General features: G+C 51.6%; 1 protein-coding gene and 1 long non-coding RNA gene across 25 annotated transcripts in view, besides 6 other annotated features; one reads left to right on the top strand and one right to left on the bottom strand.

Annotated features, from left to right (window-relative positions):
* Positions 1 to 26,712, top strand: part of KIFC3 (kinesin family member C3) — a 104,642-nt gene that overhangs the window by 38,518 nt on the left and 39,412 nt on the right. For 8 of the 24 annotated variants that reach the window (XM_047434085.1, XM_011523075.2, XM_011523076.2 and 5 more), the window contains exon 2: positions 26,059 to 26,269. In XM_047434085.1, the coding sequence (XP_047290041.1) occupies positions 26,059 to 26,269 (211 nt within the window). Of the gene's footprint in view, positions 1 to 20,633; positions 21,043 to 21,087; positions 21,356 to 21,849; positions 21,972 to 26,058; positions 26,637 to 26,712 lie in introns of those variants that run through there. The other 16 variants (XM_047434086.1, NM_005550.4, NM_001130100.2 and 13 more) reach the window with 8 other exon arrangements.
* Positions 7,085 to 7,630: an enhancer, noted in NCBI's record as "H3K27ac-H3K4me1 hESC enhancer chr16:57850615-57851160 (GRCh37/hg19 assembly coordinates)". NCBI's record gives its function as "activates a minimal SCP1, AML or CMV promoter by ChIP-STARR-seq in primed H9 embryonic stem cells {active_cell/tissue: H9 hESC(primed)}" and the evidence as "EXISTENCE:reporter gene assay evidence [ECO:0000049][PMID:30033119]".
* Positions 7,389 to 13,822, bottom strand: LOC388282 (uncharacterized). The gene is made up of 4 exons (NR_169553.1): positions 13,557 to 13,822; positions 10,460 to 10,679; positions 8,696 to 8,917; positions 7,389 to 8,121 (listed from the first exon to the last, which is right to left on the bottom strand). It is a non-coding gene; the product is annotated as an uncharacterized LOC388282 (long non-coding RNA).
* Positions 13,608 to 13,667: an enhancer, noted in NCBI's record as "active region_10916". NCBI's record gives its function as "activates an Ori minimal core promoter by ATAC-STARR-seq in GM12878 lymphoblastoid cells {active_cell/tissue: GM12878}" and the evidence as "EXISTENCE:reporter gene assay evidence [ECO:0000049][PMID:35858748]".
* Positions 13,728 to 13,787: an enhancer, noted in NCBI's record as "active region_10915". NCBI's record gives its function as "activates an Ori minimal core promoter by ATAC-STARR-seq in GM12878 lymphoblastoid cells {active_cell/tissue: GM12878}" and the evidence as "EXISTENCE:reporter gene assay evidence [ECO:0000049][PMID:35858748]".
* Positions 13,978 to 14,107: an enhancer, noted in NCBI's record as "active region_10914". NCBI's record gives its function as "activates an Ori minimal core promoter by ATAC-STARR-seq in GM12878 lymphoblastoid cells {active_cell/tissue: GM12878}" and the evidence as "EXISTENCE:reporter gene assay evidence [ECO:0000049][PMID:35858748]".
* Positions 20,877 to 21,553: an enhancer, noted in NCBI's record as "H3K27ac-H3K4me1 hESC enhancer chr16:57836700-57837376 (GRCh37/hg19 assembly coordinates)". NCBI's record gives its function as "activates a minimal SCP1, AML or CMV promoter by ChIP-STARR-seq in naive H9 embryonic stem cells {active_cell/tissue: H9 hESC(naive)}" and the evidence as "EXISTENCE:reporter gene assay evidence [ECO:0000049][PMID:30033119]".
* Positions 22,231 to 22,907: an enhancer, noted in NCBI's record as "H3K27ac-H3K4me1 hESC enhancer chr16:57835346-57836022 (GRCh37/hg19 assembly coordinates)". NCBI's record gives its function as "activates a minimal SCP1, AML or CMV promoter by ChIP-STARR-seq in naive H9 embryonic stem cells {active_cell/tissue: H9 hESC(naive)}" and the evidence as "EXISTENCE:reporter gene assay evidence [ECO:0000049][PMID:30033119]".

The raw sequence follows: 26,712 nt of genomic DNA, 5'->3' as shown, positions 1-26,712 counted from the left end.
GCTCTTGCTGGGTGGGCTGAGATGTCCAGTCTGCCCTCAGCCTACCCACTACAAGCCTGCCTCTGGCTGGTGGTGCAGACTCAGTGGCTCCCCCAAGGCAGGGAGCCTCACTGGACCAACAGAGGTTCTTATGCACCCAGATCTCCATCTACAAAGCTTGCCTGCAATTAGGCTGACTGACCATCCTGGGAGTTTTCCAGCATGCAGGACTTTCAGTGCCAAAACCAGGACAACCCCAGGCAAACCTGGACGGTTGATCACCCTCCCTGGAAGCCTGCCACCAGCAAGACGTGCTCTCCCTGACAGGACTCTGCAAGGGCAGGAACCATGCATTTCTTTCTTTCTTTTTTCTTTCATAATTGCAGACTTTATTCTCGCAATTTTTCTATAGATTCCTCAAGTATTAGTAGTTTAGGCTGGGCGTGGTGGCTCACACCTGTAATCCCAGCACTTTGCAAGGCCCAGGCGGGCAGATCATGAGGTCAGGAGTTTGAGGCCAGCCTGGCCAACGTGGTGAAACACCATCTCTACTAAAAACACACACACACACACACACACACACACACACACACACACACAAAGTAGCCGGGTGTGGTGGTGCACACCTGTAACCCCAGCTACTCAGGAGGCTGAGACAGGAGAATCGCTGGAACCTGGGGGGTGGAGGTTGCAGTGAGCCAAGACCGCACCACTGCACTCCAGCCTGGGCAACAGAGTGAGACTCTTGCCTCTGAAATTGTTTAAGAGTACAGTACATACATAATGCCTCTTAACCCTTGAATACTTCACTGTATGTTTCCTAAAAACAAGAAATTCTCTTTTATAACTGTGAACCCAAAGTATCTGAGACAGGTCTCAATCGATTTAGAAAGTTTATTTTGCCAAGGTTAAGGACATGCCCATGACACAGCCTCAGGAGGTCCTGAGGAGAAGTGCCCAAGGTAGTCAGGGCACAGCTTGCTTGTATACATTTTAGGGAGACATAATATATCAATCCATACATATAAGATTTACGTTGGTTCCATCTGGAAGAGTGGTGCAACTCAAAGCAGGGGCTTCCAGGTCATAGGTTGATTTAAAATTTTTCTGCTTGGTAATTGGTTGAAAGAGTTATTATCAATAGGAAGAAATGTCTGAGTTATGATAAGGGGTTGTAGAGACCATGGTTTTATCATGCAGATGAAGAATAGATTGTAAATGTTTCTTATCAGACTTAAGGTCTGTGTTGATGTTAATGCTGGTCGACTTTTGAATTCCAAAAGGGAGGAAAGTATAATGAGGCTTGTCCAAACCCTCTTCCATCATAGTCTAAACCAGTTTTTCAAGTTAACGTTAGAATGCCCTTGGCCAAGAGGAGGGGTTTATTCAGATGGTTGGGGGGGACCTTAGAATTTAATTTTTGGTTTACATAACCAATATACAATGATCACAATCAGGAAATTAACATTGAAACAACACTGCTACCTAATAATCTACAGACTGTATTGGGATTTTGTCAATTGCTCCAAGAATGTCTTTCATGGCAAAAGGAAATCCAAGCTCTGTGTTGCCTTCAATCTGGAACAGTCTCTGAGTTTTTCTTTGTATTTCATGACACTGGCATTTTATTTATTTTATTATTTTATTTTATTTTATTTATTTTTTGAGATGGAGTCTTGCTCTGTCGCCCAGGCTGGAGTGCAATGGTGTGATCTCGGCTCACTGCAACCTCCACCTCCTGGGTTCAAGCCATTCTCCTGCCTCAGCCTCCTGAGTAGCTGGGATTACAGGTGCCCGCTGCCACACCCAGCTACTTTTTGTATTTTCAGTAGGGACGGGGTTTCACCATGTTGGGCAGGCTGGTCTCAAACTCCTCAAGTGAGCCGCCTGCCTCAGCCTCCCAAAGTGTTAGGATTACAGGTGTGAGCCACCGCGCCCAGCCACATTGGCATTTTAAAAGAGGACAGGCCAGTTATTTTGTAGAATGAAAGGCCCTCCAGCAGGGAGTGCTCCCATGTATTGAGCAGCTACTGTGTTCCAGGATCTTCCTGTACATGATCTCATTCATCTCTTCAACAACCCTTTGAGGGACAAGTGATTACTTTTGCACAGAAGGAAACAGGCTCAGAGAGGTTAAGAGGCTTGCCTGAGGGTGCTCAGCCCCGAAAGGTGCTCCAAGCTTAACTCCAGATCCCATTTTCTTAACCACATGGCCATTGTATCTTGGGGAATTTTCTTGTTTTACTTGCAGTTTTTTGTTTTAGTTTTTGTTTTTGTTTTTATTTTTGAGACAGGGTCTCACTCTGTCACCCAGGCTGAGTGCAGTGGCTCCATCACAGCTCACTGCAGCCTTGATCTCCCAGGCTCAAGTGATCCTTTCACCTCAGCCTCCTGAAGAGTTGGGACCACAGGCATACGCCACCATGCCAGGCTAATCTTTATTTTTGGTAGAGACGGGTCTCACTCTGTCATGTAGACTGGAGTGCAGTGGTGGGAACAAGCCTCACTGCCACCTCGTACTCCTGGGCTCAAGTCATCCTCCCACCTCAGCCTCCCAAAGTGCTGGGACTATAGGCATGAGCCACAATGCCCACACAAATTTTTTTTCTTTTTTTAACTTCAGGAATTCTGAGGTCAGCGAAGTGTTGTCATGGTGCTCAGCTATCTCCTACCTATAATAGCACCCCTCCCCGAATATGTACCAGTAGAGATAAGAAGGTTGACCTTTATACTTTCCCCAGGCCTACAAGAAACAGCGGGGGGCAATTAGTCTTCAGCACTTAGGAAAGATTGCCAGCAAATGGGCACAGAGGATTGTAGGATGAAAGTTCACCTTTGAGTCTAGAAATCACTGCCTCCTAATTCAAGTCCTCGTTATAGGTTGGGGCAGAAGATGGACTAATAAACTCTTCCCTGTTCTGGTCTCTGTGGTGGTAGCTGTAGCTAAAGCAGCAGAGAGTTACCTGGTTTTCCTTCTTGCTTCCTGTCCCTGCGCAAAGCTACAGCCAGAGACAGAACATCCTTTCGCAAGGTCTGGTCATTCTCCTCCAGGAAGTCCTCTTGGCTTGATGCCCAGCCACCCCTCTTCGCTCTCCCAATATTTCCCCAGCTTCTACCTGGGTCTGCATCTCCCAGACCACTCTCCTTGTCATACCCAATGGTCAGCCCAGTCTTTTGCCAGGCTTTGGGTTATTTATCTGTGACTCCATAGTCCTCCCTTTTTTTTTTTTTAATACACAGGCTTGCTGTGTCACTCAGGCTGGAGTGCAATGGTGTAATCTTCGCTCACTGCGGCCTCGAACTTCTGCTTCAAGGGATCCTCCTGCCTCAGTCTCCTGAGTAGCTGGGACTATAGGTGTGTGCTACCTCACCTGGCTAATTTTTTAAATAGACATTTTTTTTTTGTAGATGCAGAGTCTTGCTGTGTTGTCCAGGCTGGTCTCAAACTCCTGGGCTCAAGTGATACTGCTGCCTCAGCCTCCCATAGTGCTGGGATAATAGGCATGAGCCACTGCACCTTACCTGTATTCTCTATTGAATTCATTCATTTATTCATTCAACAAATATCTACTGAAGACCTATGTGGAAGCACTGTGCTAAGCGCTGGAGTCAGCAGGGAACAAGACAAAGTCCTTGCCTCTTGTCTTCATGAGAGAAAGACGATTAAGAAGCAAATGATAAATAAACAGGGTAATCATAGGTTTTGCTAAGTGCAATGAAGGAAATAAACCAGGAGGTTAAGGTAGAGAATAACTGGGAGCCATCAACTCTAAGATCACTCTGGGCTGGGCACAGTGGTTCACACCCATAATGCCAGCACTTGGGAGGCTGAGGTGGGAGGATCACTTCAGTTCAGGAGTTCAAGACAAGCCTGGGCAACAAAACACAGTGAGGCCTCATCTCTACGAAGAATAAAAAAATTAGCCGAGTGTTATGGCGTGCACCTATAGCCCCAGCTACTCAGAAGGCTGAGGTGGGGGAATTGCTTGAGCCGAGGGATTCGAGGCTGCAGTGAGCTATGATCACACCACTGCACTGCACTCCAGCCTGGGTGACAAAGTGAGATCTTGTCTCTCAAAAAATAAAAAATAAAGTCACTCTGAAAAGTGGACAGCTGAGCTGCATGGAGTTCAAGGAATGGCATCCCAGGCAGAGGAAACAGCGAGTGCAAAGGCCTGGTGCCACATTTTAAAGTCAGAAGGTAGCCGGGTGCAATGGCTCATGCCTGTAATCCCAGCACTTTGGCAGGCAAATCACTTGAGGTCAGGAGTTCAAGACCAGCCTGGCCAACATAGTGAAACCCCATCTCTACTAAAAATACAAAAAATTAGCCGGGCATGGTGCTGGCGCCTGTAATCCCAGCTACTCAGGAGACTGAGGCAGGAATATTGTTAGAACCCAGGAGGCGGAGGTTGGAGTGAGCCGAGATCGTGCCATTGCACTCTAGCCTGGGCAACAAGAATGAAACTCCATCTCAATAAATAAATAAAATAAAAATAAAAGGGCCAGGCACGGTGGCTCACGCCTGTAATCCCAGCACTTTGGGAGGCTGAGGCAGGCAGATCACGAGCTCAGGAGTTCGAGACCAGCCTGACCAACATGGTGAAGCCCTGTCTCTACTAAAAATACAAAAATTTGCCGGGTGCAGTGGCAGGTGCCTGCAATCCTAGCTACTCAGGAGGCTGAGGCAGGAGAATCGCTTGAACCTGGGAGGCGGAGGCTGCAGTGAGCGGAGATCACACCATTGCACTCCAGCCTGGGTGACAGAGCGAGACTCCATCTCAATAAATAAATAAATAAATAAAATTTAAAAAAATAAAAAATAAATACAAATAAAATAAAGTTTGAAGGTGACAGTCTCTCCTTTATATGTTAAGACTTCTCTGGCTGCTGTGTGCTGGTGTCCAAACAGGAGATATCTCGGAGTCCAATCCTCCTGCTTGCGCCAAGTCATGTACCCCACTCTTAGGCTCAAGCCATCCTCTCTCCTCAGCCTCCCAGGTAGCTAGCACTACAGGCACATGATACTGTGCCTGGCCAATATTTTAATTTTTTGTAGAGACAGGGTCTCCCTGTGTTGCCCAGGCTGGTCTTGAGCTCCTAGGCTCAAGTGATCCTCCTGTCTCGGCCTCCCAAAGTACTGGGAGTACATGCGTGAGCCACCATGCCCAGCCAATAGTACGGATTTTGTGGGACCCTTGTGAGCATTCAACGTGAAGACACTGGACCGTTCTGGAGCTACGTCTGGGGTGGGGCTGACAGTGGGGCTGACAGTGGGGCTGTGCCTGTATCTCGTCCCTTCTTGGCTGGCAGCAACTGGAGGAACAGCACCTGCCACACCTGCTACTGTCTCCCCAGACTCCGTGGCTCAGCTGTGAGCTGTGAGGGCCCCCTGGATTCTTGGATTTTCTCCACATTGTCACTGCTCAAATAGCTGGCCTTGCTGCTGGCAGAGAACAGACAGGGGATGAGGAGCTGATATTTGAGGAGGTAAATTTAAGCAGCAGGTTTACAATATGTTTTATGAGCTTGGCAGGTGTAGCTGAAGTGGGTGTTATCAGTAAACACAGCAATGGCATTGACCACGCTGGGCAAATAGCCTCGAGGAGCTTACAAAGCCTTGGAACGTTCCCACGAGGTCTCCATTTGGAGCCTACATAGTGCAGTATACTGGATCTGGGGGTCAAAAGACCTGCCACTCAGCCAGGCTGGTGGTTCACACCTATAATCCCAGCACTTTGGGAGGCCGAGGCAGGAGGATCCCTTGAGCCCAGGAGTTTGAGACCAGACTGGGCAACATAGTGAGATCCAGTCTCCACAAAAAAGTAAATTAGCTGGGCTTCGTAGCACATGCCTATAATCCCCGCTATTGGAGAGGCTGAGGTGGGAGGATCACTTGAGCCTGGGAGGTCAACACTGCAGTGAGCTGTGATTGTGCCACTGTACTCCAGCCTGGGTGACAGAGGGATATCCATTCTCAAAAGAAAACCAAAAAGACCTTCCTCTTGTTAGCTATATGACCATGGATACGTTAATTAATGGAACCCACTGTTTCCTTACCAACTGTTTCCCAAGCCCCTCAAGGTTTTGTTGGCAAGAAGAAAATGTAACAATAGACCAGGCATGGTGGCTCATGCCTGTAATCCCAGCACTTTGGGAAGCTAAGGCAGGCAGACCACTTGGGGTCAGGAGTTCGAGACCAGCCTGGCCAACATGGTGAAATTCCATCTCTACTAAAGATAGAGGTGGAGGGTGCAGTGAGCAGAGATCACGCCACTGCACTCCAGCCTGGGCAAAAAAGTGAGACTCTGTCTCAAAACATAGAAAAGAACAAAAAAAAAAAAAAAGAAAGAAAGAAAATGTGACAATGGCCAGGAGAAGCTTTGTAAGTGATGAAATGCTAAGCTTCTGTGAGGAGATGGTGATGATGATGGTGATGGGTGAGACAATGTAGTGTGGATTCTAGAATCAGAGGCTGGGTGATTTCTGGCAAGTTGCTTAACCTCTCTGAGCCTCTTATCTGTAAGATGAGGATAAAAGCAATATCAGTCTTATTAAGAAGATTACACATGGTGTATTGAGTTGAATAATGTTCCCCCAAATTTATATCCACCTGGAACCCTGGGAATATGACCTTATTTGGAACCTTTTTGGGCCTTTGCAGAGGTATGCAGAGGTCATACTGGATTAGCGTAGGCCTTAAGTCCAATATGACTGGTGTCCTCCTAAGAAGAGGGAGATTTGGACACAGAGACAGATAAACAGAGAGAACACCATGTGCAGGTGGAAAGAGACTGGTGTGACATGCCCATAAGCCGAGGTGCACTGAAGATCGCCCGCCTCCAGCAGAAGCTGGAAGAGGAAAAGAAGGATTCTCTCCTAGGCCTTCAGGAGGAGTGTGGCCCCACTGACACCATGGGTTTGGATTTCTGGCCTCTAGAGCTGTAAGAGAATACAGTCCTTTTTCTTTTTCTTTTCTTTCTTCTCTTTTTTTTTTTCTGTTGAGACAGAGTCTCTCTCTGTCACCCAGGCTGGAGTGCAATGGTGCGATCTCAGCTTATTGCAACCTCTACCTCCTGGGTTCAAACGATTCTCCTGCCTCAGCCTCCTGAGTAGCTGGGACTACAGGCTCCTACCACCATGCCCGGCTAATTTCTGTATTTTTAGTAGAGACAGGGTTTCGCCATGTTGGCCAGGCTGCTCTCAAACTCCTGACCTCAGGTTATCTGCCCGCCTCAGCCTCCCAAAGTGCTGGGATTACAGGCGTGAGCCACCACGCCTGGCCGAGAGAATACGTTTTTGTTGTTTTAAGCCATGCAGTTTGTGGCAGTTTGCGACGGCAGCCCCAGGAAATGAATGCATGTGATAATTCAGAAAAAGTGCTCCATGCCATGGTGCCCGGCATGTAGTGAGTGTGAAGGGTTAGCTGTGATTATTATTGTTATCATTCTTAGTATTATGGTTCAAGGTCGGTTGTGATGGCCACAGATTTGGTCACAGGGAGACCCCTCCAACCTCCCTGGCCTCAAGTCTTACTGGGGGTGGGATGGGTTCCCTGGTCTTGGTTTCCCATGAGCTCCTGCCTGGAAGGGGTGGCTGTCCCTGTGGCAGTGGCTGACTTCCACGGATCCCTGAGGGGAGAGTTCTGTTGAGGTTGGTGGGGGTGCCCTCCAAGACTCCTGGTTGTGGGGAGGGGTGGAGGCTGCCTGGTGTGGCAGCTGCCCAGGGCTGGTTTCTGGAGCACAGCTCAGCAGATGCCTCAGGAACCTGTCTGGCAACAACATTCCTCCGCCACTCAGAGCAGCCAGCTGTCACTCGCAGCCCGTGTGGTTTTGTAAGGCGCAGACAAGGAACGTCAGCTGCTTCCCAGCAGGGCCCGTGAGTCACTTCGGCAGCTCTGAGCCCAGAGTTTCCCCTGTGGCGGCCAAAACCTTTGCCTCTTGGCCCAGCTTCTGTCCTGTGACCAAAGGCGGGTCTTCTGAGGCCTTCCTCAAGAGGAAGCCAGGAGGGGCAGGCCCCAGGATCCTGAAGACACACGGGAAGACAGATCCCACCGCACTTCCTTACTTCCTCAGGCTTCTGGGTTTGGGGCAAGGAGTGTCGTGATTTGGGTTGACACTTTCCGGGCCTCGGTTTTCTCACCTGTGAATGGGGATGTTGTGAGAACTTGATGAACTATTAGAAGTGGGAGCACCCTCCCCTTTCCTCTCCCCAGCAGCTCAGGTAGCAGGTCAAATGGTTCAGAGCCACTGGTAAGAGGATTTGACCACATCCTTCCTGTGGGTACGTGGATGGCCACTCACTAACATCAGGACCAAGGAGGCCTCAGGAGGAAAAGGGACAGCACTCCTGAAGACCCTCACCCCAGGTGAAGTTCAAGAATGTAAAAGCCTGTTTGTAGCAGGGGTGACCCAGCCGAGTTCATCCTCAAATGGACCCCGGGGTATCCGGGCAGCACTCGCCACAGGGCACAGACTTAACCCAGGCACCAAGCACTGCATGTGTGCCTGAGGTGGGGGAGTGGCAGGAAAGGAGTCTGGGGGTGTTTGGGGGTGTGTGTGTAGAGAGTCAGAAGAAGTTGGTGATCCCAAGGACCCAGGCAACTTGGCCGTGGGACAAGCCATGGCTGGGTGGAGTTGAGGGAGTAGACAGATATTTGCTCCCCTTCTCCCAGGCCCCGAGTGGAGTGTTTAGCAGGAATACCCACTTCACTTACGTTTTTGGAGCCTCCGTTTCCAACATCAGGTGCAGCAGCCATGTGGGGGCACCCCCAGCCTCCCTGGTGAGGGTGACTAAGGCATCAGTGTTGGTCTTGGAGGGCATCCTGGTAGAAGAGTCAGGCCAGGTGCTGATGTGGTCCCAGATCAGCCAGGTTGGGGGTGATGGGCAGAGTCTTGTAAGCAGCCCCTCGGGCTTTGGAAAATGCTTGGAGGGGATCCTAGAAAACACGTGGCGGTGGTGGGGTGCGGTGTGGATCTCTAAGCACAGAGATGTACCTGTGGCCTTGAGCTAACAGAAGCAACCCGGAGCTACTCTGGTTACAAATGAGCACAATTCTGCCTCCAGTCAGCCTCCCAGGACCCCCACAGCCTTGGGCACCATTTATCCAGGTGGCTTGTTTGCCACCGGGCTCTGTGCATTGCAGGACTTGTTTGGGCAGAGTCTGTTTCTGTGGGTAGAGACAGGGCTGATGTGAGAAGCAAAAGGAGGTCACCCCAAGTTCCCAGCCACAACAGACTGCCAGCATCAGCCTCCAAAGATGGTATCACCCCAGCCTGGACAGGGCCAGGCCTGCGTGTCCTAGAGCATGTGCAGAACTCTGTTTCTGAAATTCCTTCCTACCTAAGGCTGGTTTCAGTTCCAGCCATATTTGAATTTTGCTGAGTTTGAGTGTCTGCTGTGCACTAGGTTTTATAGCGGACAAAAGAATGGCAATAATAGGCCAGGCATGGTGGCTCACACCTGTAATCCTAGCACTTTGGGAGGCCGAGGTTCGTGGATTGCTTGAGCTCAGGAGTTCAAGATCAGCCTGGGCAACATGGTGAAACACCATCTCTACTAAAATACAAACAACTGGGTGTGTTGGTGCATGCCTGTAGTCCCAGCTACTTGGGACGCTGAGACACGAGAATTGCTTGAACCTGGGAGGCAGAGGTTGCAGTGAGCTGAGATCGCACCACTGCACTCCAGCCTGGGTGACAGAGCATTTGTCTCCAAAAAAAAAAAGAATGATAGTAATGATAATGATGGTGGTCCTAATGACAGTGACAGTTTCTTCATCTGTAACATGGGATAATTATAGTGCCTGCCTCATAGGTGCTGTAAGGATTAAATGGGAGAGTTCATGTAGAGTACTTAGCACATAGTACCTGGCACATAGTACGTGCTCAATAAATATTACCTGTTAATGAGGAAACTGAGGCTCAGAGACTTACCCTAAGTCACACAGCATGGGAGCCTGAATCAGGGACCTCCAATCTAATGTAGGAGACTAACAGTCCCCCACAGTTGTGAATCCAGTGCTAGGTGAGCTAAGGGAAGGGGAGGTGGTCCTGGGGAACTTCTGACTAGGTGGTATCAGGAGTCCCCATGGAGGAGGTGATGCTTCCATTGGGCCTCACAGGTAAACGGCTGCAGGTGGGGATATGGGGGTGTGGGTGGAGCATATGAAAAATTCAAAGACCAGAAAGAGGGTGCCTTGTGGGGTCAGTGGGAGAGAAGGCTGGGCAGGGCGGCTGCAGGCAGATGGTGAAGAGCTCTGAATGCATGCTGAGGAATGACCCACAATGACAAGGTACCCCATTGACTGTGCCCTTGAGAGGCAGTGTGGTGCAGTGGTTCAAGACTTGGACTCTGCAGCCAGCCTGCCCCAGTCAAATCTATAGCATGAGGACAGTAGCGGGATGTACAGGAAGAATAAGCAGGAGTGACTGCACAGCCCCTACCCGGTGCCAGGGTAGATCCCTTCACCTCTGCCTACCTGTCTACCAGGGACCGCATGGCTTTTATGTCCAGGAGAGCATGGGGTTCTGTCTTCAGGCTGTGACTCTGGAGATGCCTTGAGTCTCCCGAGTCCCCGGTTCTCTTCCCTCTGAAGGCACGTGCTGCAGAGGCTGTGAGGATGCCAAGCCCACCTGCATGAGTGGTGCCCGGGTGCAGGGAGGTGCTGGACACACGCAGGATGCCAGGTGGGAGGTTTGCTTCAGAGCATAGGAAATCCTAATTATTGTCATGCAGGCACTCGGCAGGCATGCAGGTTTGACCCCAGGGCTGGGATTCTCAGAAGGTGGTTAGAGTCTCCATTTGTTCACTTAAGACAGGGGCATCCGGTGCCATTTGCCCCAGGAGGTGGGCATGAAGAGCATAGGACAGGGAGGCGTGGAGGGGGTGGAGTAGCGTGGGGGCAGTGCGTGCTTTCTGGGTTATCTGGAGATTTAGACAGGGACACTGTGCCTCCAAGATCCTCTGGCTTCTCCTTTTCCTTTTATTTATTTATTTATTTATTTATTTTTGTATTTTATTTTATTTTATTTTGAGACAAGGCCTTGCTTTGTTGCCCAGGCTGGAGTGCAGTGGCGCAATCTCGGCTCACTGCAACCTCCGCATCCCGAGTTCAAGTGATTCGCCTGCCTCAGCCTCCCAAGTAGCTGGGATCACAGGCGTGCACCACTACGCCCAACTAATTTTTGTATTTTCAGTAGAGATGGAGTTTCGCCATGTTGAGCAGGCTGGTCTCGAACTCTTGACCTCAGGTGATCCACTAGCTTCAGTCTCCCAAAGTGTTGGGATTAAAGGTATGAGCCACTGTGCCTGGCCAGGTTCTCCTTTTTCAACAGCAAGTTGCCTAAACAGTACAAGTGGAATGAGCTCCTGCCTCTTATTGGCCAGTTTAGCCCTCGTGATGGATCCCTTGCACCTGTGCACCTGGCTCAGCGTTAGGTCTAGTCTGGGGTTGCCTCTTGGGCAGCTGCATCTGCCTGTGCCCCACAACTGCCAAGCAGACATGGCTGGACCAGTTCGGGGGAGCCCCTCAGGGGCAGCAGGTATTCCTTACTCACACTTTCTGGAGTGTTAAGATGTTTCCAGGCAACTGAGAGCGCCCTGGCCAGCCCGGTGTTTCGGTGTTTCCAGTCCAGGCTTTGTTTCCAGGCCCTCCCTGTCTGAGCAACACCTCATCTCACCCTGACTCATGGGGTCTCTCCCGCTCCACCTCCAGCCGTTTTCTTGCCACCCTCCCCACATTCCTTCAGGTCCACACACACCTGCCCTTTGATTCATGGCTCTTTCCGCTCTGAGGAAGGCAAGCACCAAAGGCCAGGGCCCCATCACACTCGGTCAGCAGCTGGGGCCACCGCCTGCCACTGGGTGTCTTCACACACACCTTTCCTGGACTCTGGAGTGAGGCTGCTTAGAGGGGGATGATTGCAGAGGGGCTGGGTGCTGAGGGCCCTATTCCCAGAAGGCAAATCCCAAAGGCAGCTCTGGCCTGACCTCTTTTTTTTTTTTTTTAAGAGATGGGGGGCTGGGCGCAGTGGCTCATGCCTGTAATCCCAGCACTTTGGGAGGCTGAGGCGGGCAGATCATGAGGTCAGGAGATCGAGACCATCCTGGCTAACACGGCGAAACCCCATCTCTACTAAAAATACAAAAAATTAGCCGGGCGAGGTGGCGGGCGCCTGTAGTCCCAGCTACTCGGTAGGCTGAGGCAGGAGAATGGCGTGAACCCTAGGGGATGGAGCCTCCAGTGAGCCGAGATCGCGCCACTGCACTCCAGCCTGGGTGACAGCGAGACTCCGTCTCAAAAAAAAAAAAAAAGAGAGAGACGGGGTCTCGCTCTGTCACCTAGGCTGTAGTGCAGTGGTCTGATCATAGCTCACTGCAGCCTTGAACTCCTGGGCTCAAGTGATTCTCTGGCCTCAATCTTCTTTTTTTTTTTTTTTTTTGAGACGGAGTCTTGCTGTCACCTAGGCTAGAGTGCAGTGGCACAATCACAATCTCGGCTCACTGCAACCTCTGCCTCCCAGGTTCAAGTGATTCTCCGCCTCAGCCTCCCAAGTAGCTGGGTTTACAAGCTTATGCCACCATGCCCGGCTAATTTTTGTATTTTTAGTAGAGACAGGGTTTCACCATGTGGGCCAGGCTGGTCTCGAACTCCTGACCTCAAATGATCCACCTGCCTCAGCCTCCCAAAGTGCTAGGATTACAGGTGTGAGCCACTCCGCTTGGCCCCACGCCTCAGGCCTTCTAAGTAGCTGGGACCATAGGTATGCACTCCATACCCAGCTAATTTTTAAATGTTTTTGTAGAAATGGGGTCTTGCCACGTTGCCCAGGCTGGTCTCAAACTCCTGGCCTCAAGTGATCCTCCCTGCTCTGCCTCCCAAACTGCTGAGATTATAGGCGTGAGCCATCGCGCTTGGCCTGACCTCTGTGTAGGTCTCTCTCTCTCCTGTCCTCCCTCCTTCCTTCTTCCTTTCTCTCTTAAACGGCTTTACTGAGATATAATTATCATACCATAACATTCCCTGTTTAAAGTGTACAATCCAATAGTTTTTAGTATATTTACAGAGTTGTACACTGTCACCATAAACTAACTTTAGGACATTTTATCACGCCCCAAAGAAGCCCCATTCATAGTCACTCATCATTCTCCCTCCCAGGCCCTGGCAACCACTCAACTACTTTCTTTCAGTGGAGTTCCTTGGAGAAGCAACTGTGAACAGTGAAGCCAACCCCAGGTACTGAGGTGGGATGCTCCTGCCCTTGGATCAGGCTTTCAGCAAGCAGAGTCCCAGAATGAGGACCATCCCTTCCAGCTGGCCCACTCACTTCCTTGTGGCTGTAGCCCTGAGAAGGTCACCAGTCCACCCTCCTCCTTTACCCAGGGAGGGGCATGAGACCCAGAACAGGGAGGAAGTCTGACCAAGGTCACATCGTGGGTTGGGGACACAGCTCCTGCTGGCGGTACCCACCATCTCTGGCACTCCAAGCTATCTTCCCACAGCAGCCCCTACACATCCATAGGCCTTCCACTGGCCTCAGTCTCTCCATCTGTACAATGGGAATAATAACACCTACCACACATGTTGTTGCGGGGATTGAATGAAAGCAAAGGCAATCCTGTGTGTAAAGAGTTTTTCCCTTTGCCTGGCATGAAGCTGTCCCTCAGCCCATTGCTGAAGTTGAATTAGATTAAATTCCCGTCCTGGCATTCAGGGCCCTGCACATTCTGGTTGTCTGGGGTGGATGGAAGTTTGTCCCTCCCCTCCCTTGGAAGGTGGCAGATGGAAGCCACTGGAACCGCAGGATCCTTGCTGCTTCCTCTCGGTCACCTGGAAGCTGGTGGTGTCAGCGGGGCGGGCGGGAGGTTGACACTGGTGGCGATGACTCAGCACTGAGAGCTGTGGGAGTCTAGTTAATCAGCAGCGTCAAAACTTCCTGTTGCTGTTTGCAAACAAGGGCCACCCCCAGAGGAGGAGGACCAGAGCTAGGGGAGAGGCTGCGCACCACAGAACCTCAGCAAAGCGAAGCTACAGTTTAAAGGCAGCAGCAGCAGTGGTGCTAAGAGTTCAGCAGGTGGTCAGGGGCTGTGGCTATGGCTTTCCAGGAGCACGTGGCTTCCCTTATGGCCCCTGTCCCCATCTCCCCACCCAGGAGGAATTTTTTTTTCCCCCAGTAGTAGCTGATTGACTTACTGCAAGGAGCCCCAGTGAAGTGCCAGGGTGTGAGAGCAGGAATCATGGTGGTGGCACCAGATGAGACTCATCCGTCTAGGATGGGCCAGAGTGTTGGACCGCGGGGTACTGAGGCGTTCCAGGACTGACCTCAGAAGATCTCTGAGGGCTTAACAGCAGGCAGGGATTGGGAGCACTGAGTCAGTGCTCTCAGCCCCACCTGGCCTGGCCCAGCAGACAGAAACACTCCCGGCCTGAGCACCTGGCAGAAGAACCAGATACGCCCCTCTGGTGACAGCCATCGCTCAGATATCTTTATATATGCCTCATGCCTCCCAGGAGAACCAGCCAGGGCGAGAATTCCAGATCCAAGAGAAAAACTGTAAATTAGCGTGAAAAGTAGTTCTCGTCAAAAAATGCTGCCAACGACAGTGTAAATTTGGTACAGGCCTTCTGAGGGGCAATCTGGCAACATGTTTAGAAAGTGAAAAAAAAATGCTCAGACTCTTTATTCAGAAAGATTTTTTATGAAATTGACAACCTCTCTTCTCCCTTCCCTCCCCACACCAGGGAATGAACGGGCTGTGTGGGTGGCAATGGTGACAGCAATGCTGTTTATAAAAGTGACAAAAATGGGAGCTACTCAAATATCAGACCCTACGGAATGGCCAGCTCAGTCAGGGCACAGGCTCTCAGTGGAATATTATGCAGCCATTTAAAATAGTTTTTTGCTGGGTGCAGTGGCTCACAGCTGTAGTTCCAGTACACGGGAGGCTGAGGTGGGAGGACTGCTTCAACTCAGGAGTTTAAGGCTGCAGTGAGCTCTGATCATGCCACCTCACTCCAGCCTGGGTGAGAGAGCGAGACCCCAACTCTAAATAAGTGAATAAATGAAATACTTTTCAGCCATTTTTATTGAGTGCTAGGTGCGCCCCAGACACTGGAACCTCCATTCTGAATGTGACCTTGGCTTTATCCTATGATGTCTGCACTTCAGAAAAATGTAGGCATTAGCAGGAAAAAGTGACATGGAAAATGCTTATTATAATAATTAAAAAAAATTTAGAGATGGGAGTCTTGCTATGTTGGCCAGGCTGACCAACTCCTGGGCTTAAGCGATCCTCCCACCTCTGCCTTCCAAGAAGCTGGGACTACAGGCATGAGCCACCACACCCAGCACTTACATGATTCAAAGTAAGAAAAGGCAGAGTAAAAAATTCTATCCGGTCTTTGCCTCCCACTATAACTGCAGCTTGTGTTTGCAGAAATGCCAATTGTGTGCCAGATGCTGGGCTGAGGGTGCTATGTGCTTGCTCCAATTTACATCTCACCATAACTCAATGGGTTAGACACTAGCCCTACTCTCATTTTCACAGGAGGAAACTGAGGCACAGCAGAAGTGACTGAGCCAGTGAATGAGCTCAAACCCAGGTCTGCCTGGCCTCAGAACCACCTTTAGCCATCTCTCTATACTGTCTCTCCTTAACACAGAAATGACATCAGCTCAAGGTCAGATACTGGAAAGAAAAATCTGGGCCAATGACAATAAGTGAAGGGTGGTGGGATTTGGTGTTTTAGTTTTTGTGTTTTTCCTCTCTCTCTTGGTTTCTATTAGATTTGTGCAGAAAAAAAAAAATTTTAAGTTCAAAAACAAAAACTGCCACCTAGAATTTGCAGCAGGTGGGGAGAAGTGAATGAGGAAGTGGGGAAAAATGCGAAGGATGTTAATAACGCATGTGCTGGTTTAGAACCCGGAGCTATAACAATTTAGGAGCAAGGAGAGAAGCGGCAGAACACTTAGCAAGGAGGAGCCCGGCGGCTTCTGGAGGATGGTGGGAGGATCCTCGGGCTGAGAGGCGGGCCGGGGGCGGGGCTTATTTGGCCCGTGCTACTCTCAGGGCGGTTATTGCTAAATCTTTTTATTACCTGGTGCTTACGTCCATTATCTCCTCAATGTTTGCATTCCTCTCATTTTTTTAAGACTACAGGAAATGATAAAAGGGGAAAAAAAACCTCACAAAGCCTCCGTTTGCTTTTAGCCTTGGAGTGCTAGGAGGGAGGGAATCTCCGCCAAATTCCTCCTTGAGTCATAAGGCTTTAGGTTCCCCTAAACTGAGAGTTAGGGGAGAACTGTCGAGTTCAGTCTTTTTGGCCAATGCAGAAAGGCAGCCACCATTTGGATTTTAAAGCAAGGTGGTTTCCTTTTTATTTTCTAGTCCTCTTAGAAGGTTTTTTTTTTTTTTTTTTTTTTTTTTTTTTAAGACAGGATCTTGCTCTGTTGCCCAGGCTGGAGTACAGTGACACGATCATAGCTTACTGCAGCCTCAAACTCCTGGGCCCACGCCATCCTCCCGCCTCAGCCTCCTGAGTAGCTGGGACCACAGGCCTGTGCCACCGCGCCTGGCTTGTTGTTTTGTAGAGACAGGGTCTCAATATGTTGTTCAGGCTGGTCTAGAACTCCTGGCCTCAAGCGATCCTCCTGTCTCATGAGCCACTGTGCCTGGCCGGCAAGGTGATTTTCTTGGGGGAAAGATTGCCTTGGTTCTCTGAAAATGGGAGAACTGTTTTCCCCTGTTAATACAGCTTCTAGAAAGGAAGGGACACAGGGAGCAGGAAGGTGAGAGGGAGAGAAAAGAGTGAGAAAAGTACCATTAGTTTAAATATCACTTGAACACCTAATGCTTGCTGAGCTGGGTCTAGAGCAGACAAGGATGACAGGAATTTACAGTCCAGTCAAGGGACATCCAAGACCACCACCTCTCCATGCCCACTGAGGAGCCTGGCTTCCTGAGAGCTTGCAGCTGTGAGCCTTGTGCCAGACCCCCTGAGGTGCTCAGGGTGAGTCATGTGCCCAAGACCTGCAGTTGGTGACATGCAAAGCTGGAAACCAAATTCATGCTTATGGGGCTGGGTGCAGTGCCAGGCTCTTCACCTCCAAGAGCTCTTCCACGGGGTTTTTTTTTTTCTTTTTTTAGACAAAGTCTTGCTCTGTTGCCCAGGCTGGAGTGCAGTGGCATGATCTTTGCTCACTGCAACCTCCACCTCCTGGGTTCAAGCAATTCTCCTGCCTCAGCCTCCTAAGTAGCTGGGATTACAGGCGCCCACCAGCACATCGGGTAATTTTTGTATTTTTAATAGAGATGGGGTTTAGCCATGTTGGCCAGGCTGGTCTCGAACTGCTGACCTCAGGTGATTGCCCGCCTCAGCCTCCCAAAGTGCTGGGATTACAGGCGTGAGCCACCACGTCCAGCCTCCTCCGTAGTTCTTTCTGCGGTGCTCATGATGAATGATTTCAGAGGGATTGGAAGATTGGAAGATGTGGATTCAAAAAAGCAGCTAATTGGGTCAGGATTACTTAATATGCGGCTCACTCCAGAATGAGTTTCTCCAACTTCAATAAATGTTCTGTTACCCAGAAGCATGAGAGGACACACTTTTCACAGCTGCAGGGCACTCCTTCCTGACCACATGGAAATAATTGCTAAGGAGCCTTCTCTTACTTCCTTTTGGTAGAAATTATCATTACTTTACATGGGAAGAAAGTCTGTTTGGGTACATTTCACGCACCTGTTCTTCCCTTCTGAATTCTATGGGATCTATGGATTTATTCAATGAACATGTCTGTGATACCAGGCCCTGAGCTGGGGTCAGCTGAGGATTTCCCTGTGATCAAGTAACGAAAGGGTCCTGTCCTGAAGGAGCAGATGGTATACACAGGAACGCCATCATGATCCAGGGTCGGGGATGCTGCAGGGGGTGAGTTGAGCCCGCCTGCTGGTGCCTGGGAGGGTCAAAGAAGGTGACCTCTAAACTTGAAGGAGGGACAAGCAGGTATGGAATTGGCCAGGTAAGGGTTAGTGGAGGCAGATGAGAATGGGGTGAAGGAGAGGGGCTTTCCAGGCAGGGAGGACAACATTTGCAAAGGCTCGGAGAAGACTTGATCTGAGGTTAAATCATTTAAAATGGGAAAATCATGTAAATCTTATCTGTGCTTTACTCTGGGTTGCTATGAGAATCAGATTAAACACAATCTGACTTTTCATTCCCCTTCTTTCCTTCCCTTTGGGGAGCAGAACTCTCAGGCTCTTGGCCACTTCTCTGACGAATGCCTGAGCAGTAAAGGGTTTCAGGCCCTCTGAACACAAAGATGGGTCAGGTGTGGTGGCTCATGCTTGTAATCCCAGCACTTTGGGAGGTTGAGGCGGGCAGATCACCTCAGGTCAGGAGTTCGCAAGCAGCCTGGCCAACGTGGCAAAACCCCGTCTCTACTAAAAATACAAAAATTAGGAGTTTGAAAGCAGCCTGGCCAACATGGCAAAACACCGTCTCTACTAAAAATACAAAAATTAGCTGGGCGTGGTGGCGCATGCCTGTAATCCCAGCCACTTGGGAGGCTGAGGCAGGAGAATTGCTTGAACCCAGGAGGCAGAGATTTCAGTGAGCCGAGATTGCGCCACTGCACTCCAGCCTGGGCAACAGAGTGAGACTCTGTCTCAAAAAAAAAAAAAAAAAAAAGTCTATGGGCATACCACCGTGAACACACCTGATCTTGTCTGAACACAAAGATGGCGCTGCTAGTCCCTGCCTGGGGATGGGGTGGATGTGGGCGTGGAATTGCAGTGTTCTGGACACTGTCTTCTGTCTGGCCCTCCCTGAGACAGCTGTGCCTCTGCCAGAGTTCGGCAGGAAGGGTCAAGGCTAAGGCTGAACCCAAGAGTCCTCCCTCAAGGGTTTAGGACTTCAGTGTTGGAATGGCCAGGTTTCAGCAAAACTTGCACCTTTCCCGGGGCCAGGAGAGTTGGCAGCCTCCTATGCAAATCATCAGCGAAGTTTCTGGGTTAGAAATGACCTTGGAGTTGGTACGTAGTTCCTGATGACATTGTACATTCTTAAATTCCAACAACTGGGATGGGCATGGTATGGTGGCTCATGCAAATAATCCCAGCACTTTGGGAGGCTGAAGCAGGATGATCGCTTGAGGCTAAGATTCTGAGACCAACCAGGGCGACAGAGCTAGACCCCGACTCCACACAATATTCTTTTTAAAAAACTGAGTCATGCTGGGCACGGTGGCTCATGCCTGCAATCCCAACATTTTGGGAGGCCGAGGCAGGGGGATCACTTGAGGTCAGGAGTTCGAAACCAGCCTGTCCAACATGGTGAAACCCTGTCTCTACCAAAAATATAAAAAATTAGCTGGGTGTGGTGGTGTGCGCCTGTAATCCCACTGCACTCCAGCTTGGGTGACAGAGCGAGCCCCCGTCTCAAAAAAAAAAAAAAAAATTGAGTCAGGCACAGTGATTCACATCTTCACATCTGTAATCCCAGGACTTTGGAAAGCCAAGGTAGAAGGATCCCTTGAGCCCAGGAGTTTGAGACCAGCCTGGGCAACATAGTGAGACACCCCCATCTCTACTTAAAAAAAAAAAAAATTAGCTAGGCACACTGGTGTGTGCCTGTAGTCCCAGCTACTCAGGAGGCTCAGGTGGGAGGATCACTTGATCCCAGGAGTTCGGGGCTATAGTGAGCTATGATTGCATCACTGCACTCCAGCCTGGGCAACAGATCAAGATCTTGTCTCAAAAATGCAACAACCATGAAACAAGTAGTTTTTACGTTTCAAATCGGAGTTTTGCTAGAATTCCAAAAATACAACCTCCTTACACTTCAATTTCCTTTTTCCTTCGCTGGTGCTTTGATCTTAATAAGTTGTTATACCCATATGCATCTGATAGTACTGTGTGAGTACCTATTGGAGTCATAGCTCTATCACACACTGCATTTGTGAACAAACTTTCTGAGGCTCAGTTTCCTTTCCTGAAACACGGGTGTCCTGAAACAGTACTGGTGTTCATAGGGTGTTCAGGGTTAAATGGGATTTTGTTTATAAAGAGCTTAGTGCTGTGCCTGACACAGTGTTAGCTTCAATAATGGCATCTATTATGTACACAGGAAAAAAAAAGACTTCTAAAGTGTTGGCAGCATTTATCTCCAGTGTGTGGGATATGGTTACAATGAACATCTATTACTTTTGTAATCAAAGCAAAAGAACAATAAATGTTATTATTAATTTAAAAATCTGGCTTTGGCTTTGGTGGGAAGGACCTACAGTTAATGTCAATGTACTCAATCCCTGAGTAAGAAAAAGTCTCCAGTTTTGAACCAGGACTTTAAAGACATTCTGTCCTCCCCATCCCCCGCCCCATCAACTCATAGGGACTATAATCAAGGGAGATAGATACTAAATCAGAATTCTAGAGACATTTTGCCTTCATCCACCCTTGCGGTCCCCTGGATCACTGCTGTTTGGAGGGCAGGCAGAGGAATTCAGAGATCATAACTCCCCAAATAAGGCTTTCTCTCCCATTGGAAGGGTTCTCCAGTGTGGTGTTCAGCTGGAAATCTAACTCTCTAGGGAATGATTCCAGGAGCGTTACATTCACCCTCTATCAGGCCTTCACTGAGGAATCTCAGTTGTCAAATAAAGCATGCACTAGGCTGCTTCCAGCTGGGGGACTGTGACTGTCCTGCTCTGGCGTCCAGAACAATCTGAGGCCCAGGCCCTTGGCTCCGTCGCTGGTCGAGATTCTTGACTGGCAGCCCAGCGCCTGGGCGGCAGCAGGAGATAGAACCCACCTGGAGTTGCCCGACCCCCTCCAGTCCTCTCCTTGATCTTCTTGGGCCATCCCCTGACAAGCAGGAAGGGACAGAGTACCCGCCCTCCTGGGATTATCTGCAGAACCGTCAGCCTGCATGGGCTGGCTTCAGAGTGACTTGCTTTCTCCTCTTCCGCACCCGGGGGTGTGGAGAGTGAGGGAGAATATTGCTGCTGGCTCTGGAATAAAATGCTGCCTCTGTTTGGGAGACAAAGAACAGAGTGGCTCCTCCAGGTCAGCTGTCTCTCCCGGCTGGCAGGCCCCTGGCCTCCCCCAGGCCTCTTCTGAGGCTCTAGGTGCCCCAGTAGCAGGGCCTTCTGCAGCAAGGCCGGGAACTGCTGCACCATTGGTGTGTTTTACCTTAAGGGACTCCAGGCAGCTTCCTTGCTGGGAAGATATTCATTTGCTGGGGTGGGGCTGGGGGTGCAGAGGTAGGAAGTGCTGTGGCTAGAAGGCGGCCTGGCCAGCGAGTAGGTGGTGGAGCGAGTGAGAGCGTGTGCGCTGTAAACAGTGTGAGTGCATGTGCGCCAGCGCGTGCAAGGACACGGTAAGGGATGTACATGTATTGTCTCGTGAGTAAGAGCTTGTGTGTGTGTTGGGATGGGAAGACACGTACTGGTATGAGAGCCCGCGTGAGAAGTGTATGTGTGAGTACTCGCGTGGAAGTTTTGCACTCGGGTTTGAGGCTGTGCAAAAGTACGCATGGCTCACCAGGTGTGGGGCTGTGTGGGCTGCCTCGTGTGTGCCAGCCCGTGTGCAGGCCTGTTTTGTGAGAGCCTTCAGGGAACGCATGAGCACGTGTGCCAGTGCGAGTGCGGGACGCGGGGAGGCGGGAGAGACCGAGTGGGAGGCCCCGCGAAGGAGTGGGAGTGGGAGTGGGAGTGCCGGCGGGAGACCTGCGGGGGCGCGCCCGGGCTGACGCGTGCGCGCCAGTGCGCGTGAGTGCGGGCGCGCGCCGCCGCCCCCCGCCGGGGTCGGAGCCGGTTGCCATGGGAACGCGCCGCGGCCCGAGTTAATCATTTCCTGTGGAAAGTGTGCGGGAGGGGCGCGAGCGGGCTGGCCGAGGAGGAGGCGGCGGCGTGGAGCTGCCTCCTGCCGGCGGGCCGGGCCGGGCCGAGCCCCGGGCGCTGCGGCGACGCCTGGATCCTGCCTCCGCCAGGCCGGTGAGTGGGGGGCCCGGGCGGGCTGGGTGCGAGCGGGGCGCTGGGCTCTGCCCGGCCCGCCGTTTGGGGCGCCGCGTCCGGGCCGGCCCTGCCCTCGGGACCCCTCTGCCCGGACCCGCTATGGGCGCGGGGAGGGAAAGGCCCGGGAGACCCAGCCCTGCGAGGTCCCCTCCAGCGCCGTTCAGCCCGAGTCGAGGACCTTGCTGGGAGCTGGGCACAGGGGCGGCGTGTCCCACGGGATCCGAGCAGCCTCGGGACCCCGTTTGGATTTTATTGAACGAGAAGAGCGCAGACCCTACCCGGGATGGGCTTGTCAATCGGCGCCGCCCTCTCCCCTTCCTGGCGTCTTCCCCACCCCCAGGGCTCCCTGGAAGGCTGCCTTTGGGTCCCTCCCACCACGTCCCTTGGGGAGTTCGCTTTTTCCCTGGCAGGGCCTGGGGCGGGGTGCGCCCGCCCAGAGGTTAGGAAGAAGGGCCTTGGCCGGTGCCCTCCGGGCAGTGAGGAATCGGGCCATTGACAGCCGCAGCAGTTGTGAGGGTCTCAGCAGGGAGGGCGATCCCAGGACCACCCCTTTAAGCCCAGCATTGCTAGTTAGAGCAGAACTCTGGCTGGTGCAGTGAAGGGCCTGGTCCTGGGAGATATTAAAGAGGAAGCTGTGTTTAATTAAATTCTGGAGTACCATTTACTGCCACCCAGCCCCCACCTCCATACCCCAACACTGTCTCAAGATTGCGGGTTGTGGCCACCCCTGGTCTTTCACCTTCCCCGGCTTTTCCTCTGCCTGAACAGGGTGAGCACCCATTCTTTCCCAGACGTGTATTCCCCATGCCCTTGTTAGAGTAGCCGTCTCCTTGACCAGGGAGAGTCATTTGCTAGGAATGCAGTCTCAGAATGGGGCCCTGCATTTGCAGTGAGTGGACTTTAGGGGCACAGGGTGGTGAGTTCTGCTGTTCACAGGGGCACCAGGGAGCAGAGGGTTTGAAATCTAGGTTGCCCTGGAAAGCCCAGGATAGATGATGGTGTGCAGGGAGGTGGCATTCCCTGTACAACTTCCTTGACCTTCTGCCTGCTCTCCCAGGGCGACCAAGCCCTGCTTGCTGCAGTCTCTGAGCAGCTGTCCAGCCTGTCCCCCCAGTCTTTGCAATGTCCCTGATCTAGGGCAGGGGGAGTATTGCAGCTCTGCTGTCCTGGTCTAAACCCAGAGAGGCAGAGACCCTCTTCCCCAGCCAGGCCCTCTGCATTCACCCACCACTGGAGCAAAGTAACTGAAAAATAAAATTTTGGAGCTCTTTGTATATGCCAGTATTGTTCTGAACACTTGGCCTTGTCTAATCTTTAGAGCAACCCTATAAGGTGGTGTTCTCCCCATTTTATAGATGGAGATAATGAAGTACGGAGAGGCAAAGTAATTCTCCCAAGGTCAGACATCTAGTAAACAGGGGAGCCAGGTTCTGAACCAGTCCCACTGCCCTCCCCCACGAATCCTAGGTTGGTAGAAGTCCCCGGACACCAGGTTTCATCTCAGATGCCCATGTAAATGAGAGAGAGTCCTGCTTTCTTGGCCCAGAACCCTGGGCTTAAGATTCCTTGATACTTTTGACCTTCACACCCCTGAGGCTGCTAAATTCAGCTGCTTTTTCCTCTTCGGGATCTAGCACACGCCCTTCCTCTTTCTTCCCGATATCTTCCTGGCTGCCTCCTCCACTTCCCTTCCTGATAACCGCAGAAACGCTATCTCCTCCTGTCCCTGCCCCTCAGACTGAGCTGAGCTGATCTCCCTGAAAGTCTTCTCTGTCCACTGTGGAGTCAGCCTCCAATGCCCTGCACTGTCTCACCTTCCCAGCAGCCGAGACTGCAGATGGACCTGCCTTGCTCCTTCCCTTGCCCATTGGACAGCTGGTCTGCAGGGTTGGTTGTGTGCCCAGCTCTGTGCCAGGCAGCCTGGAGAAGAGGACATTTGGCTGCTCCCCTTGGTTTCTTCCACGCCACACTGGTCCATCTCAGTTTCCTCAGTGGAGCTGGCCCACGTATTTAGATCAGCCTCTGCCCTGTCCTTTGGCCCACATTCCCATCCCCTTCCCAGTAAGACTGAACCTAGGAGCCTCCTAGTTGTTCTAAGTCAAGGAAGGAAGAGACCATGGCTTCCTCGCCAGGTGCCTGGCATTCTTCCAGGGTTGGGCTCTGCAAACATCAGACACCAGATCTTCAGGCCCCTAACCCCTGGACCCTTTACTTTATTATTTATTTATTTATTTATTTTTGCCTCTCAATGCTTTAGTCACTCCTGTCTCTCTGTCTCCCCAATATGCTCAACTCTCCCCCTATTCTAGACACCACATCCTCTCCTTCCCATCCTAGCCAAACACCCCCAAGGAGAAGGAAGTGGCTGCTTCCTCCCCCAGCTCCCGCCCCACTCTTTGAGCCCTCCGAAGTTTGCCATCTGCCCTTCTCCCTCCACAGGCTCAGGCTTTCTGCCTGTCTGGGCTTTCAGTCCTCCACGTCTCTTTGGCATGATGCACTGGGCACTGACCAACCTCTCCTTCCCACTTACACTTCAGTCACTTCTGAAAACTCTATACTTGCCTGGAGCTCCTGTCCCTCTCTCAGCTTCCTTCTGCAGCTTTCCACCCCGCAGTGAGCCCTGTTATCACATGGCTGTCTCCTCTTGCTCAAGCTTTGATGATTGCCTCCTCACCTGTGGCGTTGGTGGCCCTGTTTAGCTCTGAGTCTGTGTCCAGCCCTGACCTCTCTTCCAGGCTTCAGTTCAAGCTTTTGTGTGTGTTCATTTCAGAACGTTCACCCCACAAGCCATCCCAGAGTTCTTAGTGTGGGTGCAGCTGCAGACTGGGTGCAGTGGGGCTGCAAACATGAATGTGTGTGGGCCCATAGTGGGTCAGGGGAGGTGGACACCCTTCAAATAGCTATCTTCACTTCCTGGCAGGAAGTGGCCACTGCAGTGACGGATGGGGAGAGTAGTCGACAGCCCAGGAAGCTCCACTAGGAAGTCCTTCAGTTACCCCCACCTCAATCTTAAAACCCCATGTTGCCTCTCCAAGCTGACTTCGCTTCTTCTGTAAATGACATTACTGTCTGAGTCTGGGACTGTAGCATGATCACCTTAAATGTCCTCAAGGTTGCTTTGCACACAGTAGGTGCTCAATAAAGACTTCTGCAGGGAATACCTGAGCTCTGTTCATTTGTTCAGTTCATGAGGGACCTATCCCTGACTGAAGCTTTCTATCCCTGACCAATGCTCTCTGCCCCCCTCCATTCCCCACACCACCTGGTGCCTGGCTCGCACCTGCCGCCTCCAGTAGCCTGCTCAGACTGTGAGGGTTTTTTTGAAGTGTTTATCTCCCTTCTGACTGGGAGTTTTCAGGCCTCATCTCTTCTGATCCAAAAGGACCCCTGGCAGATGCCTGGCACCCAGTAGGCATTATTAAATGAAGACTGAATGAATCTTTGTATCTCAACACCCATACGGTGCCTGCCACATGCTAGGCACAGAGCGCAGGCTAGTCGAATACATGAATGAGAACTTACTGTATATAGACTTCACTTGTCATTGGCCACAGTCAGGGCCCTTTTGAGTCCCTCCTCAGTGAAATGTTAATATTCAGAGCATTCACTGCTCTGCTGACAGGCCTTAGGCAGAGCAGCCTGAAGCCTAAGGGTTAAGCATGTGGTTAAGTGCAATTAGAAAATTAGATGTCTTGGAGGAAAAGGATTAGACTTACGGAGATGCTGCTGACTCGCGGTGCCTCCTCTGTGTGGGGCTAGGACCTGGCTTGTCCTCAGGCTCCAGGCTCAGCTGGGAAGGGCTCAGGTGTGGGGTCTCAGGCACAGCTGATATGCAACTTTCGCACTTCGGAGCCTCCGTATTCGGAAACAAATACCCCCAAAAGGCAGCAGGCCCCATTTCATCCTGCGAGCCCTAGGGTCTTTGGGGGACAGTGCAGTTGGAGCTGCTGCGCTGGGTAACCAGCGACCGGTGGGGCGTAGACCCTTCCAGATGGCTGGCTCTGCCCGAGGTGCAGTTGTGCTGGTCCACGGTCTTCAAGCTTATCTCCCCTTGTTCTCTCCGCAGGCTGCCTGGTGCCCCGAGGAGGCTGCTGAGCCCCAGGCCATGGTCCCCTCTCGCAGGACGTGGAACCTGGGAGCCACGCCCTCGCTGCGGGGCCTGTGGAGAGTGGGCCGGGCCCCGGAGCCCGAGCCGGGGATGGCTCGCCCCGCCCCAGCCCCAGCCAGCCCGGCCGCCCGCCCTTTCCCACACACCGGCCCGGGGAGGTTGAGAACTGGTGAGTCCGCATTTTTAAAATGCCTCTTTATTTCCCTTCCTTCCTCCAGATACCAGAGATGAGACTGAGGTTTCTCACCGGTTCCTAAGCCCAGTCAGAGCTGTCAGGTAATTACAGGGTAACCGACAGCCCAGAGCCAGGCGGGCGTGGAGCCGGAGCGTCAGTCTCGCCGGGCGCTCCTTCCCTGCGCCCCTGTCTGGAAAAGAGGAGACCTGGAAGCCGGGTTAAACTTTAACACGGGTCGGGCACAGAGCAGGGGGAATCAGCTGCATTCCCTCTGGCCAAGCTGGTCAGAGCTCTGCGGGCTGCCGTCCTTGGCCAAGAGCGTGTGGGCTAGCTCCGGTCTCTGCCCAGGCTGGTAAACAAGGTAGGTGAAGTGGCTGCCTGGGCACCAAGCGCCGCTGACACTTGATCCTGCCTGGGCTGGCCCCTGGACGGCGTTG

Source organism: Homo sapiens, chromosome 16 (assembly GCF_000001405.40).
Source record: "Homo sapiens chromosome 16, GRCh38.p14 Primary Assembly".
NCBI classification, from domain to species: Eukaryota; Metazoa; Chordata; class Mammalia; order Primates; family Hominidae; genus Homo; species Homo sapiens.
Note: the sequence above shows the minus strand (reverse complement) of the source record. Positions and strands in the feature narration are given on the sequence as shown.